The sequence below is a fragment of the Homo sapiens genome, chromosome 11 (assembly GCF_000001405.40).
Source record: "Homo sapiens chromosome 11, GRCh38.p14 Primary Assembly".
In the NCBI taxonomy this organism is placed as follows: Eukaryota; Metazoa; Chordata; class Mammalia; order Primates; family Hominidae; genus Homo; species Homo sapiens.
The window spans coordinates 33,675,609-33,692,352 of NC_000011.10; the positions used below are offsets into that span (position 1 = coordinate 33,675,609).

At 42.9% G+C, this 16,744-nt stretch overlaps 1 annotated feature.

Moving 5' to 3' along the window:
• Positions 14,519 to 15,718: an enhancer, noted in NCBI's record as "P300/CBP strongly-dependent group 1 enhancer chr11:33711673-33712872 (GRCh37/hg19 assembly coordinates)". NCBI's record gives its function as "activates an origin of replication core promoter dependent on BRD2, BRD4, P300/CBP, MED14 and CDK7 cofactors, with strong dependence on P300/CBP, by STARR-seq in HCT116 cells {active_cell/tissue: HCT116}" and the evidence as "EXISTENCE:reporter gene assay evidence [ECO:0000049][PMID:35650434]".

A 16,744-nucleotide genomic window follows, 5' to 3' on the forward strand; every position in this document is an offset into this window, starting at 1 on the left:
AACCACTGGTAAAGTGTACACGGATGAGTAGTAGGTGCTACAGACTGCATGTTTGTGTCACCCCCACTCCCCAGTTCATGTCTTAAAACCTAATCCCCAATGTGAAGGTATCTGGAGGTGGGGTCTTTGGGAGTTGATTAGGTCATGAACCTTCATTAATGAGATTAGTGCTGTTATATGTAATAAAGGCCCCAAAGAGACCCCTCATCTCTTCTGCCATCTATGAACCAGGAAGCGGGTCCTCACAGACACCAAATCTGCTGGTACCTTGAATTTGGACTTCCCAGATTAGAACTGTGAGAAATAAGTTACCATCCAGTTTATGGTATTTTGTTATAGCAGCCTGAACAGACTAAGACAGTAAGAAACAATTGCTTTGGGTCTCTCTGTAACCACTTGGAGGTATGGTTATGATCAACACTGGCTTGCACAGTTCAGCACTTCATTTTTAACATTTCAGTGTTAATATTTGCACATGCACAAACTCACATTTGGGCAGAGGCCATGGGACTCATTGGAATTGAAATAGTCTCATTAGCGTAACAGTTTCACCACCAATCTGTCCCCCAAGCCCCTGGACTCTGATGAATCTTCACTCAACATATATGAGAGCTTGCTTTTTCTTTTGGTGCCCACTTCATCACTCAGCTCCTCAGTCCTGGTGGGAGAGGCCTTTGGGAGACCTACAGGTCCTGTGAAAGCCACACCCCTTGAGGCTGTATCCCCATGATGTCAACACAACCCAATGAAAAATCAGGCAACCACCAGATGCCTTGCCTAGGGAAGCTTTGAGAACAGCTGGATTTGGGGCACAGGATCTCCCAATAGGCTGGATGTTGCACTGGATTTCTCATGGTTTATCCTACTCTGCTGGGATTGGGAGACAAAGCCAGGGGCTGATTGCATGCCCCTTGGGATGTCCATTTTCTAGGTCAAGTTTCAGCAGCATCAAGAGAGGTTCTGGACAGTCTTACAACTAGGAAAACAAAGGGCCAGAATGCCCCAAGTTGCTTCATGTATTAATGTTCAGGGGCTTTGGGAACTAGAAGTTTGCTTCTCTGTGAGATTTTATCCCTAAAACTGGTTGGTCCTGAACACACTTTGTGTGCCACAGTGACCAACTCTTTTAGAATGGGTCCAGGTAAAAGAGAACCAAAGGCTGAGACCAGAAACCAGATGCCACAACTGAGAAGGCATTAGCCCTGGAGAAGTGGGCATGCATATCTGGGTATGGTTTTATCCTGTTTTTTATTATTTCCATAGGTTTTTGGGGAACAGGTAGTATTTGCTTACATAAGTTCTTTAGTGGTTTGTGAGATTTTGGTGCGCCTGTCACCCAAGCAGTATACACTGAACCCAGTTTGTAGCCTTTTTCCCCTCACCCCCTTCCCACCCTTTCCTCATGAGTCCTTGAAGTCTATTGTATCATCCTTATGCCTTTGCATTCTCATAGCTTAGCTCCCACTTACGAGTGAGAACATACAATGTTCGGTTTTTCATTCCTGAGTTACTTCGCTTAGAATAATAGTCTCCAATCCCATCTTGTTTGCTGCAAATGCCATTAATTCATTGCTTTTTATGGCTGAGTAGTATTCCATTATACATATATACCACAATTTCTTTATCCACTCATTGATTGATGGGCATTTGGGCTAGTTCCATATTTTTGTAATTACAAATTGTGCTGCTATAAACATGCATGTGCAAGTATCTTTTTTGTATAATGACTTCTTTTCCTCTGGGTAGATACCCATTAGTGGATCAAATGGTAGTTCTGCTTTTAGATCTTTAAAGAATCTCCAGACTGTTTTCCATAGTGGTTGTACTGGTTTACATTCCTACCAGCAGTGTAGAAGTGTTCCCTTGTCAGCACATCCATGCCAACATCTATTTTTTTTTTTTTTGATAATGGTCATTCTTGAGGGAGTAGGGTGGTATCACATTGTGGTTTTGATTTGCATTTCTGTGATCATTAGTTATGTTGAGCATTTTTTCATATGTTTGATGGCCATTTGTATATCTTATTTTGAGCAATTTCTATTCATGCTCTTAGCCCACTTTTTGATGGGATTGTTTATTTCTTGCTAATTTGTTAGAGTTCCTTGTAGATTCTGGATATTATTCCTTTGTCAGGTGTATAGATTGTGAAGATTTTCCCCCACTCTGTGGGTTGTCTGTTTACTCTGCTGACTGTTCCTTTTGCTCTGCAAAAGCTCTTTAGTTTAATTTAAAGTCCCAAGTATGTATCTTTGTTTTGTTTTTGTTGCATTTGCTTTTGGGTTCTTTTGGTCATGAAACCTTTGCCTAAGCCAATGTCTAGAAGGGTTTTTCCAATGTTATCTTCTAGAATTTGTATAGTTTTAGGTCTTAGATTTAAGTCCTTGATCCATCTGGAGTTGACTTTTGTACAAGGTGAGAGATGAGGATCCAGTTTCATTCTCCTACATGTGGCTTGCCAATTATCCCAGCACCATTTGTTGAATAGGGTGTCCTTTCCCCACTTTATGTTTTTGTTTGCTTTGTTGAAGATCAGTTGGCTGTAAGTATTTGGATTTATTTCTTGGTTCTCTGTTCTGTTCCACTGGTCTATGTGCCTATTTTTATACCAGTACCATGCTGTTTTGGTGACTGTGGCTTTATAATATAGTTTGAAATCAGGTAATGTGATGCCTCCAGATTTGTTCTTTTTGCTTAGTCTTGCTTTGGCTAGGTAGACTCTTTTCAGTTCCATGTGAATTTTAGGAATGTTTTTTCTAGTTCTGTGAAGAATGATGGTGGTATTTTGATGGGAATTGCATTGAATTTATAGATTGCTTTTGGCAATATGATTATTTTCACAATGTTAATTTTACCCATCCATGAGCATGACATGTGTTTTCCATTTGTTTGTGTCTATGATTTCTTTCAGCAGTGTTTTGTAGTTGTCCTTGCAGAGGTCTTTCACCTCCTTGGTTAGATATATTCCTAAGTATTTTATTTTATTTGTAAAAAAGAAAAGCTTATTGTAAAAAAAGGTTGAGTTCTTCATTTGATTCTTAGCTTGATCACTGTTGGTGTATAGCAGAGCTACTGACTTGTGTACATTAACTTTGTATCCTGAAACTTTGCTGAATTCATTAATCAGTTCTAGGAGCTTTTTGGAGGAGTCTTTAGGGTTTTCTAGGTATACAGTCATACCATGAGCAAACAGCAACAGTTTGACTTCCTCTTTAGTGATTTGAATGCCCTTTATTTTTTTTCTCTTGCCTGATTGCTCTGACTAGGACTTCCAATACTACGTTGAATAGAAGTGGTGAGAGTGGGCATCCTTGTCTTGTTCCAGTTCTCAGAGGGAATGCTTTCAACTTTTCCCAGTTCAGTATTATGTTGGCTGTGGGTTGTGATAGATGGCTTTTATTTCATTGAGGTATGTCCCTTGTATGCCGATTTTGCTGAGAGTTGTAATCATAAAAGTGATGCTGGATTTTGTCACATGCTTTTTCTGTGTCTATTGAGATGATCATGTGATGTGATTTTTGTTGTTAATTGTTTAAGTAGTGTGTCATATTTATTGACTTGCATATGTTAAACTATCCCTACATCCCTAGTATGAAACCTACTTGATAATGGTGTATTATCCTTTTTGATATGCTGTTGAATTTGGTTAGCTAGTATTTTGGTGGGGATTTTTGCATCTATGTTCAACAGGAATATTGGTGTGTAATTTTCTTTTTTTGTTATGTCCTTTCCCAGTTTTGGTGTTAGGGTGATACTAGCTTCATAGAATGATTTAGGGAGGATTCCCTCTTTCTCTATCTTATGGAATAGTGTCAATAGGATTGGTACCAATTCTTCTTTGAATGCCTGGTTTCAGCTGTGAATCCATCTGGTCCTGGACTTTTTCTGTTGGTATTTTTTTTAATTACCATTTCATTTTCACTGTTTGTTTTGGGTCTCTTCAGGGTTTCTAATTCTTCCTGATTTAAGCTAAGAGAATTGTATCTTTCCAGGAATTTATGCATCTCCTCTAGGTTTTATAGTTTATGTTCATAAAGGTGTTCATAGTAGCCTTGAATGATCTTTTGTATTTCTGTGGTGTTGGTTGTAATATCTCCCATTTTGTTTCTAATTGAGCTTATTTGGATCTTCTCTCTTTTTGGTTAATCTTGCTAATGGTCTATCAGTTTTATTTATCTTTTCAAAGAACCAGCTTTTTGTTTCATTTATCTTTTGTATTGTTTCTCTTGCTTCAATTTCATTTAGTTCTGCTCTGATCTTTGTTATTTCTTTTCCTCTGCTGGGTTGGGGTTTGGATTGTTCTTGTTTCTCCAGTTCCATGAGGTGTGACCTTAGATTGTCTATTTGTGCTCTTTCAGACTTTTTGATGTAGGCGTTTAATGCTATGAAGTTTCCTCTTAGCATCACTTTTGCTGTGTCTCAAAAGTTTTGATAGGTTGTGTCACTATTATTGTTCAGTTCAAAGAACTTTTTAATTTCCATCTTGATTTCATTGTTGACCCAACGATCATTCAAGAGCAGGTTATTTAATTTCCATGTATATATGGTTTTGAGGATTCCATTTGGAGTTGATTTCCAATTTTATTGCACTGTGGTCTGAGACAGTACTTGATATAGTTTCAGTTTTCTTAAATTTATTGAGACTTGTTTTGTGACCTATCATATGGTCTATCTTGGAGAAAATTCCATGCACTGATGAATAGAATGTATATTCTGCAGTTGTTGGGTAGAATGTTCTTAAATATTTGTCAAGTCCATTTGTTCCAGGGTATAGTTTAAATCCATTGTTTCTTTGTTGAAGTTCTGTCTTGAAGACCTGTCTAGTGCTGTCAGTGGAGTATTGAAGTCCCCTAGTATTATTGTGTTGCTGTCTATCTCATTTCTTAGGTCCAGTAGTAATTGTTTTATAAATTTGGGAGCTCTGGTGTTAGGTGCGTATATATTTAGGATTGTGATATTTTCCTGTTGGACAAAGCCTTTTATCATTATATAATATCCTGCTTTGTCTTTTTAAACTGCTGTTGCTTTAAAGTTTGTTTTGTCTGATATAAGAATAGCTACTTCTGCTCGCTTTTGGTGTCCATTTGTGTAGAATGTCTTTTTCCACCTCTACCTTAAGTTTATGTGAGTCTTTATGTGTCAGGTGAGTCTCTTGAAGGCAGCAGGTACTTGGTTGGCGAATTCTTGTCCATTCTGCAATTCTGTATCTTCTAAGTGGAGCATTTAGGCTATTTGCATTCAACATTAGTATTGAAATGTGAGGTACTATTCCATTCATCATGCTATTTGTTGCCTGTATACCTTGGGTTTTTAAAAAAAATTTTTATAGGTCCTGTGAGATTTATGCTTTAAAGAGATTCTGTTTTGATGTGTTTCTGGGATTTGTTTCAAGATTTAGAGCTCCTTTTAGTAGTTCTTGTAGTGGTGGTTTGGTAGTGGCAAATTCTCTTAGCATTTGTTTGTCTGAAAAAGACTATCATCTTTCCTTCATTTATGGAGCTTAGTTTCACTGGATACCAAATTCTTGGCTATTTACGGAGGTTGAAGATAGGGTCCCAATCCCTTCTAGCTTGTAGGGTTTCTGCTGACAAATCTGCTGTTAATCTGATAGGTTTTCCTTTATAGGTTACCTGGTGCTTTTGCCTCACAGCTCTCAAGATTCTTTCCTTCATCTTGACTTTAGATAACCTGATGACAGTGTGCCTAGGTGATGATCTTTTGCAGTAAATTTCCCAGGTGTTCTTTGAGCTTCTTGTATTTGGATGTCTAGGTTTCTAGCAAGGCTGGGGAAGTTTTCCTCAATTATTCCCCCAAATATGTTTTCCAAACTTTTAGATTTCTCTTCTTCCTTAGGAATGCCAATTATTCTTAGGTTTGGTCATTTAACATAATCCCAAACTTCTTGGAGGCTTTGTTCATTTTTTAAAAATTCTTTTGTCTTTGTTGGATTGGGTTAAATCAAAAACCTTGTCTTCGAGTCTGAAGTTCTTTCTGCTGCTTGTTCGATTCTATTGCTGAGATTTTCCGGTACATTTTGCATTTCTCTAAGTGTGTCCTTTATTTCCTGAAGTTGTGATTGTTTTTTATTTATGCTATTTCACTGAAGATTTCTTCCCTCATATCTTGTATCATTTTTTTATTTCCTTAAATTGGACTTCATCTTTCTCTGGTGCCTCCTTGATTAGTTTAATAATCAACCTTCTAAATTCTTTTTTTAGGTAAATCAGGGATTTCTTCTTCATTTGGATCCATTGCAGGTGAGCTAGTGTGACTTTTTGGGGGTGTTAAAGAACCTTGTTTTGTCATGTTACCAGTATTTTTTTTCCGGGTTCCTTCTCATTTGGGTAGGCTATGTGAGAGGGAAGATCTGGGGCTCAAGGCTGCCATGCAGATTCTTTTGTCCCATGGGGTGTTCCCTTGATGTGGTACGCTCCCCCTTTTCCTAGAAATGTGGCTTCCTGAGAGCTGAACTGTAGTGATTATTATTTCCCTTCAGGATCTAACCACCCAGCAGGACTACCAGGCCCCGGGCTGGTACTGAGGGGTGTTTGCACAGAATCCTGTGATGTGAACCATCTTCAGGTCTCTCCATTGTGGATACCAGCACCTGTTCCAGTGGAGGTGGCAGAGGGGGTGAAATGGACTCTGTGAGGGTTCTTAGCTTTGGTGGTTTAATGCACTAGTTTTGTGCTGGTTGGCCTCCTCCCAGGAAGTGGCGTTTTCAAGACAGCATCAGCTGTGGTAGTAGAGGGAGGATCAAGCAGTGGGCAGGGCCCTAGAACTCCTAAAAGAATATGCCCTTTCTCTTCTGCTACCAGGGCGGGTAGGAAAGGACCATCAGGTAAGGGCAAGGCTAGGTATGTCTGAGCTCAGACTCTCCTTGGGTGGGGCTTGCTGCCACTACTGTGGGGGATGGAGGTGTGATTCCTATGTCAATGGAGTTATGCTCCCAGGAGGATTATGGCTCCCTCTGCTGTGTCAGGCAGGTTGTCAGGGAAGTGGGGGAAAGCCAGCAGTTACAGGCCTCACCCAGCTCCTACGCAACCCAAAAGGCCAGTCTCACTCCCACTGTGCACTCCCCCAGCAGCACCGAACTTGTTTCCAGGCAGTGGATGAGCAAGGCTGAGAACTTGCTCCAGGCTACCAGCCTCCCAGCTGAGAAAACAAGAAGGGCTTTCATGCCTCGCCACCTCTGGAGTCTACACACCAGATTCATGCCCTCTTTCGAGTTCTGGCCAGGAGACCTCGTGTTTGGTTGGAATTGTTACAGAGTTCACCTGGAGGTTTCCTTCTGTCTGTGGTCTTTTCCCAGTTCCTCTGGCAGCCCTCCCTAAGGACCCCTGTGAGACAAGTCAGAAATGGCTTCCTTAGGGACCCAGAGAGCCCACAGGGCTTTTCCTGCTGCTTCCTCTACCCCTGTATTTCACTCAGCTCTCTCAATTAACTCAGCTCCAGGTAAGGTTCAGTCCTTCTCCTGTGATCTAGACCTTCAGGTTCCCCAGTGAGGGTGTGTGTTTGGGGGCGGATGATTCCCCTTTCCCACTGTCACAGCTTGGGCACTCACAGTATTTGGGCTGCCTCCCAGGCCCTGCAGGAGCAATCCACTTCCTTCAGAGCGTCTATGGATTCGCTCAGCATTCCTGGTATATTCCTGCAGTAGTTCTGGAGCAAAAGTTAATGATGTGAGTCTCCACATGCTGCTCTATTTGTCGAAGCTGGAGCTGCAAGTTAGTCCTGCCTTCTATCTGCCATCTTCCTTCTAAAAAAAAAGCTGGTTTTTATCCTGTTAATCATTAATCTTTCATTTAACTGGAAACTGGAACTATCTAGAAGCACTGATAGAACCTTCCCCATAGCCATCCCTTCAGTCCTTCATAGGTTGAGGAGATGTTTCCTGAGCACCTGCTGTGTTTCAGACACTGTGCCAGGAGACAGGGACTCAGTGAATGGGACACAGCTCCTGCCCCTCACAAAGCTCACAGTCAAGGAAGATTGATCCTTGAGACACAAAGCCCAACCTATTAAGGGCTCACCATTCATTCAGTGCCATTTCTTCCTCATAAAAGCCAAATGAAAACTGACATCTTCTTTCTGGAAGCGTTTAAGTCTAGAAAAGGACAGGCTCTACTGTTGCATCTTCCAATTATGTGACACAGCTTTCCTTCCCAATTATCTTTAACCAATTAGTAAGATGTCCACAGTATCCCCAGGGGGAAGAGAGAAAATTGCCAATGCGAAGAAGCAACAAGCGTTACAAACCCAAATTTCAGAGCTGTCACCACCAAATGAAATCAGGAACCCAAGTGTAAAGAAGAAATAACCAATTTGCGAACTATACATGCAATCCAAATGAAAATTCAGGAACCATGTACTTTATGAATGAAGCCACAGTACACTGAACACTCTCATTTTGAATTGCTCATATCAATAAAATGCCATTCAGAATGTACCAGATTATTAATGTATGGGTTTTGGTTTTTATCCATCCTCTCAAATATAGTGCTCTGTGGAGCAAATCTAAATAGGCGAACCAAGTAGCGCTTTGCAGTGATACCATTCTTTGCTGCCTTAGTCTGTGTAGCTTAGTTGGCATTGTGTTGGGTTTTTCTTGCCACATTTGCATATGAAATAAAGCACATTGTCTCACTGGTAATTCGCCTTCCAAGGTGTAAGCAGATATTTGTGTTCACAGTTTGTCTTTTCCCTTAATACTTCTTTCTCCATTCCTCATAAGGAAGAGATTTTAACAAGTGTTTACAATATTCTCAGAATATTAGACATTGCCACATGATGAAGTGATATATCTTGCTGTTTTTGAAGTGATAGAATCCCAGACTCTGAGTTGAAAGGGAATCTAGTGAAGATTCTGTCCTTCACACTCCAGTCATCACAGGATAAACCTCATGACCTCTGTACACAATGTTACTCCCCTCGTCAGAGATTAAGCAGGACTAGAGCTTCGGAAAAGCAGACAGTCAAAATGAGAGGAAGTGGAGCAGAGAGAGGAGAAGATCAGGAAAAGAGAGCTTTTGAATGCAATTTAATAGAGAAAAAGAAAAAGGCACTATAGTTACCCTGGGATGGGGGCTGGGGGGTTACAAGTTTGTTGTGCTTTTTTAATACTTTATAGTTTAGGATTGTTTTCATTTTTAATTACATATAGGAAAAGAGGGCACTAAAATCTTTTCAGTTTGGGGCCTGATAAGGTTTTACTGTAGCTCCGAATCTATGTCATGACCACTGTTATTACACTTTAAAGGGATCCCAATCTTGGGATTTGACATCATCCAGACCTAGGTTTAGAACCTTGCCTTTACTACATTCTAGCTGTGTTACTTTGGGCAATTCATGTCCCCTCTCTGAGCCTTATCTGTGAAATGTGCAGTCAATGAGGTGACTGTAGAAGGGGAAGGAGAGAGTGCACCATTCACAACTGCATGGCACTCAACAAGTATGATGAATTATTGTTATTTATGGAGCCTCTGTTTGAATACTTGTACACAATGTTGCTCCCCTCGTCAGAGATTAAGCAGGACTAGAACTCACTTTCTCACCACAGCCAATGCATCACCCATTGATCACCCAGAAGGAGTGACTCCTCTACTCAGCCTCATCCGACTCATCTGCTATGGACAACCTCCCTTTTCAACAGCCTCCAGCACAGTGGGCTCAGGACACCTAGGGAGAGATGAATGGTGCTGTGAAAGGAAGAGCCCTTCATCATCCGGCCATGATGAGACAAGCTGGAACCAGCTGGAGCTGTGCTGCAGATTCCACATGCTCTTTTGGTTACAGCCTCATCATGCCTAGGAATCATTCTGAGTAACCAGCTCACCAGGAGTATAATACCCTGGTCCCAGCAACCCTGGAAAAGATCTGGGCTTGGTGGGTTAAAGATCTGGCAGCAAGAACGGTCAGCTCTGTAAGAGTGGCATGGAATTCTGGCTGGGCATGGTGGCTCACACCTGTAATCCCAACACTTTGGGAGGCCAAGCCAGGAGGATCACTTGAGGCCAGTAGTTCAAGACCAACCTGGGCAGCATAGTGAGATCCTGTCTCTATAAAAAAAAAAATAATTGCAACAGCCAGGCATGGTGGTATGTGGCTGTAGTCCTGGCTATTCAGAAGGGAGGATCACTTGAGCCCAGGAGTCTGAGGCTACAGTGAGCTATGATAGCATCACTGCACTGTAGTCTGGGCCACGGAGCAAGACTCTATCAAAAAAAAAAAAAAAAAATGACATGGAACTCACTCCTAGAATCATATGGTAAGCTCATGGAAAATAAGATTATATTTGGGGAAAATCCATAAGTCTCCTCCTGTACCAGCTCAAGGACAGTGTCGTTAAAGTGATGCATGTGCATGATTTGCATGTGATGAAATCAGGAGGGAACTTGCCCGTCCCCACTCTGGAGTCCATACCCTTGGCAATTAAGACGTTTGCCCACACAAACATTCTCCATATCAGCTGGCTGCTGTGGGCTAAAGGACAACAGGGAAAATATAATAGTTTGAAGCCAGTCACTGAAGAAAAGAGCTAAGAGTTTAAGACTTCAGGCTTTGGAGTGGCTCAGCCACATCCTAGCTAGATGCCTCTCGATGCCTCTATAAAATGGGGGCTGGGGCCATTTTCCTCATGTGTTGGGATGTAAATATTGATGAGATGCTGTATGTAGGGTGCTGAGCCCAGGGCCTGGCACTTGGCAATTCCTCAGTAGCTGGCAATTGCTAGCTGGCAGGGCTTGGGAGAAGCTCCAAGGGTGTCTCTAACCCCCTGACTGGACTCTCCTGTGCTCAGACACCACCACATCTTTTCCAGTGCTCTAACGGGCCCGTTAGAATGGTTGCATTAAACAGACTATAAAATGACATCAGTCCCTGAAATGCACCTAAAATAAACAGTTATTATGGACTGGATTGGGGAGGGCGCAGTGGACAATTCATATTTGCACATCATCCTTGTTTCTGTGTAGCAGGTTACACAATCTCTGCCAAGAGCCTGCTCATATACACGCATGCATACACCCAAACACGCATACTCACATGCCACACACTGGACAAGTGGGCCTATTCTGATTGTCCAGTGACTCTTCCTAAGTCACCTCCAAGAGAGAGAAGAAGGGACCTGGATTCCTGGAGGACTGCACAGAAGAAGAAGCTGCCAGCTGGAGCCTTGCAGGGAGGGAATAGGCTCAGCCATTGACCCCCTGTGTCAGCTTCAGCAGTGACTTCATTTCCCTGAGCCTATTTCTTCATTTATAAAGATGTGCCATTTTGCCTGCCCCCACAACAGTTAACTCTGGAAATCAAGCCTGCATGAAATCCCAAATATTACCTCTTCCCAGACTCAACACAATCTAATCAATTAAGAGGGGAAACTGCAGATATATTCTTCTATTCAGATCTGAGCTGTCCACTATGGTAGTTACCAATAGCCACGTGCCTATTTCAAGTTAAATTTAAATAACTAAAGTGAAATAAAGTTTAAAATTCACTTTCCCAGTTGCACTAGCCACATGTTAAAAACTCAATAGCTACATGTGTCTGATGGTCACCATAGTAAATGGCACTGATATAGAACATTTCTGCCATTTCAGAAAGTTCTATTGGACAGTGCTAAGATCATCCCAACATTAATGGCTAGTAATAACGACAGACAATAAAAAGATAAACAATAGTCTATATAAATAGATATATGTCTGAATAATAGGAACTAGGTAGACAAACAGAAGAGTACACAAAAACTAGAAATACATTGTAGATAATGCTATGAACTGAATTGTGTCCCCCGCTAAATTCATATATTGAAGCCCTAACCCCCAAAGTGATGGGATTTGGAGACAGAAACCTTAGACAGAGAATTATGTTTAAATGAGGTCATGAGGGTGGGGCCTTCATCATGGGATTAGTGCCCTTATAAGAAGAGAAAGAGACACCAGAGCTCTCTCTTTGCCATATGAGGACTCATGAAGAAGGTAGCCATCTCCAAGCCAGAAAGAGTCCTCAACAGGAACCAAATCAGCCAGCAGGTTAATCTTGGACTTCCCGGCTTCCAGAACAGTGAGAAATGAATGTCTGTTTTTTAAGCCACCCAGTCTGTGGCATTTGGTTACAGCAGCCCAAGCAGACCAATACACATAGTAAGAGTCAATGAGTTCAGCCCAGCTTCTCTTGTTCATGTGAACTGAACTTTTCATCTTGAAACCAGTTCTACAAAGAGCAGATTTTCCCTGGGTGAGTAAGATGTGGCTCTCAGCAGACAGCCACCTGCAGGCCTCTGGGAAAGGCCAGGTGCTGTGCCTGTTTATTTTTGCAATGAAAGCCTTCAATGGCTGTAGTGTCTCCTCCTCCCAAAAGGTTTCTAAATTGGATTTTTCCCTAGGTTATAATGAACAGGCTAATAAATGTCAGCCCTGGATGTGAGAGGACTAGAAAGGGGAGACCGTTTCATCCCATGTCTAAATCCATGCTGCCACCTGGTGGATCCCACTATAAGAGAAATGTGGGGATTTTGTGTTAATGACCAGAAACCTTGTTGCAAATTGCCCAGTGAACCCAAAGAGGCAAAGATGATGGTGAGCATTAGCTGTTTGTCACATCATGAGCTGAGCAGTTTACATACATATCTCAGGTAACTGGCAACAACCCCAGGCTGGGGGAATTATTGTGCGCCTTTTCCAGATGAGAAAAAGGGCCTAGAGAGTTAAGAATCTATTTTTTTTTTGAAAGAACAATTGGATGAATAAATGAGTAAACAAAGGAGTAAATGAATGCAGGCTTAGTTTATATGCATTGTTTTCAGAGTTACAGAATGTTTGTACTGGATTCAGGTAAACTCTGAAATGACAGTGATAATCCTGGCTGACTCTGTGAATGAGTAGATGGAATAATTAACATCTATTGAGTACTGGCTTTGGACTATGCATTGTTCTGAGTACTTCATACATATTAACTTACTTCAACCTTATAGCAACCTATGAAGTGGGGGTACTATATAATCTCCTCATTTTATAAATGACGAAACAAAGACACAAAGGTTAAGCAGTTTGTCCAAAGTCACACAGCTGGTGTGTGCTGGGATTTCAACCCAGGCAGTATGACCCCAGATCCAGCAATTATATACCACTTCTCAGATAAAAAGAGCTGTCTTAGGCCTGTCTCTGAATCTTGGTAAAGAACTCAAGGTACATCTTGACCCCATCCCCAAGCCTGTCATAAAGGCACTTGGCCCAGATGAGTCCCAGGATATTGCATCTAGATCATCCTTTCTTATCATTTTATGCAATTGACGTTTCCACCATAAGTCAAACCACAAGGCTGAGACTGCATTTTCCCCTCTATCCGCAGCCAGCAACGTGCTCCTTAAGCACATGGAGTGTCCACTTTGTGCAAAACCGTGTGCTCAGGATGACGATGATGACAACACAGGCCCTACCCTTAAGAAGATCGCAGTCGAGCTAGGGAGACATACTGATGGGCTATTATAATCCAGGTAGTAAGTCCCAGGAAAGGGGATGCCCAGAGTACAAAGGGAGCTCAGAGAAGGGACACATAGCCCAGACTGGGGACTGGAATCAGGGAAGGCTTCCTGGAGGAAGTGACATCCATGCTGTTGGGAGAGGAGCACTTCCCTTCAGCTTCCTTCCAAGAGCAGTACGGGAGTCCTGGCCTCTTCCTGCCTCTTTACCCGCCCAATGCCCAGTGATGGATGGGGACTTGTGATTCATAATTTGGGGAAGAATAAACTGGGCATACTTAGCCACACCCTGCCATTCCTCCTGGCTTAAGTAAAGAGAGTGACTGGCAATGGGTGTCTTTGATAATGAGCAACAGAAACTAAACTAAGGGAAACTAAGAAAGGTGTCGTCCGAACATTTAGAAGGAAAGGAATGAGGTGTTGCCACTGGACAACTCAGCTCCAACTACCATTTCTTGGGGAGAAAATATGAGAGACGGAGAGCAGCCTGCTCGCGATCATGTGTACTTGGAGCCTGATGCCACTCTTGTGAGTTCCCTGGGAGCCAAGTTGGAAGGAAGCTGACTGCAAAAGGCAGGAGGATGCAGTGAAAAAGAGATGGGAGGGGAGCTGCCTGGGCTCCTGGTGGCTTCCAGGCCCTGGTGCCAATTGCGCGAGGCCCATGAGGGAGCCATGTATCTTTGGCAGCCAGGGTCCTTCTTTTGGGAAGCAGCTGCTCCACAGTTCCAAGTGGTTCTGGTGGGGATGCAACCACAGGACCCTGGCCACCTCCTCCGCAACATGGACAGAGATGGAAACGTAGCCCGAGCTGGGCCAATCACATTTTCTAAGAACTGGTAGTTGGAGCTGAGTTGTCCAGTGGCAGCACCTCATTCCTTTGCTTTCCTTGTTCAGATGATGCCTTTTTAAATTTCCCTTAGTTTAGTTTCTATTGCTTGTGATCCAAGAAGCCCATTGCCAGTCACTCTCTTTACTCAAGTAAGTCAGTTTGAGTGGCCTGTTTCCCCCCAAAACCAAAGAGCACCTGGAATAGGTGATACTTCAGCTTTGCATCATAGATTTTCTGGATTCCTATTGTCGATTGAAATTACAGCTGTTTCACCAGAAATAACTTGATAAATGTTTATTGGAAGCCAAATGTGAGGATCGACCCAGGAAGACACACCAACAAAGCTGGGAGTGTCCTAGAGTCTGTTACAAGTTAGAAAGCTTTTATGGGAAGGTTTAGAAGAGGGGAGGAGGACTCTTCATACAAAGAGTTGTCTTTTTGTTATTGGAAGGTATAATAGAGAGATTAGTCACTGGCTACAGATGACAACCTACAGGCTAAAATGTCTACGGGCAAGACAGCAAAGTTTCATGATTCAGAAACAAATCAGCAAAACTTCATGATTCAGAAGCAAATCAGCATCCTTTTCCATGTCAGGCATGCATTAACCACTATGTCAACAGTTTAAGGAAATCACGATAAGATTCCTTACTCAGAAACAGGATGTCCTCATGAATCACAAAACTTCTGCTAGGTGGGAAGTCTGACAAATGCAAGTTATTACTATTTAGTCACTTTCATGGCAGCTCGGCACAGATATGTTCTCGGATATGCTCATGCGCTGGTGTGGACAGAATGACAGGATTGGGTGGTGACCATCCACCCTTCCTTTTGGGGACTGCCTACAGAGAGGCCATGCCCTTGGCCTTGTCTGTTGGGTGTGGGCCATGTGATACTGCCTGGGAGGAATGTGGTTGGCTCCCTCTAGAAAACAAACCCCTCTTCCCCAAACTGCTTCCCAGCCATATTCACCCCCTTTGTCGCTGCTTATGGGGCTGAGCTCCAGGGCCTGCGCATTGAATGCTTCTCCCTCCCTGTGGACTGGGCCTCCCTCCAGCTCACATCTCGTGGCCACCACCACTTCCAGCACCAGTGACTCAACAATGAGGGCTGTGTACTACACAAACAGGAAAATAATATTAAAATGATTCCCAGTTTGGGGCAGTTTCACATCTGTCATTTTTTGTTGTTGTCCCCACTCCCAGCCCCCATCCTGTGAAAGCAGCGTCTCCATTTGCCTGATGTGGAAAGAGGCTGTGAGAGGCTGGGTAACTTTCCCAAGGTCGCAGATCTGGTTAATGTCAGAATCAGGACAGAGTTCAAAGGAAAAGGCCAATATTCCCTGAGGCACCAACAAGGTATTTACCTCCAGTGAGAACAAAAGCCGTAAAGCAGTAATTAAATGTCTCTTCCTTCTGTTCCCAGCTGACTTCCACTGAACCCTGCCTGACCGCTTTGGCACAGAGGGTGGGCACAGGTGACTTGGATAAGGTAGCAGGAGGTCTTCCCATCACACTTGAAGTCTATATTTCTCTCAGGAGTAATAAGCTTATGATGAAAGGATCATGATATAAAGAGCTGGTTATCTGTTCTATCAGGTTTCATGCTTCATCTTGCCCAAACAGTCAGCACTGCAGAAGGCCTTCAGCCTCCATCTACAGGCCTCTACCTCAGCTTTCCCTCTACCCTAGTTTCTTGAAAGTAAAGATCGCTAATTGATCTGACTGGCCAGAGTCCAGGACAATTCCTTTGACCCCACTTTCCCAGTGGATAGGTTTACTACATCTTAAAGGTCAGGACATGGGGGCCAGGTGCAGTGGCTCACACCTGTAATCCTAGTGCTTTGGGACGTCAAGGCAGGAGGATTGCTTGAGCCCAGAAGTACAAAACCAGCCTGGTGGTGAGACAAAGTGAGACCCCCACCTCTACAAAAGAATTTAAAAATTAGCCAAAGACTTGGGAGGCTGAGGTGGGAAGATCACTTGAGCCCAGGAGTTCGAGACTGCAATGAGCTAAGATCACACCACTGCACTCCAGCCTGGGCGACAGAACAAGACTCTGTCTCTAAAAAGCATTAAAAAGAAAAAATAAAGTCAGCACGTTGGGCTTTCCTTCTTCCCTGAGTTCATGCAATAGTCAGACCCAGGACAAGCCTGCCTCCACGGACGGGTGAATCAGGCTCTTGTCTGCCTCTTTCCTGTCTGGCACTGAGTGGGCAAATCAAGCCAGAGGAAGCAGCGAGCTTCATTTATACCATCATCCCAGCTTTGAATGCTCCAAAACAGCTTTCCTTCTAGCTCAGCCACAAATAAAGCGGGGCTTTTGTTTTTCATGTCGCTGGTGGCGTGCTGGTAAACTCTTTTCAACCAGCTCTTCTCAGTGGAGGTCCGAGGGAGCCAACCCTGATTTGTACATTTGCCAATTTCCTTGTTGTAAATACA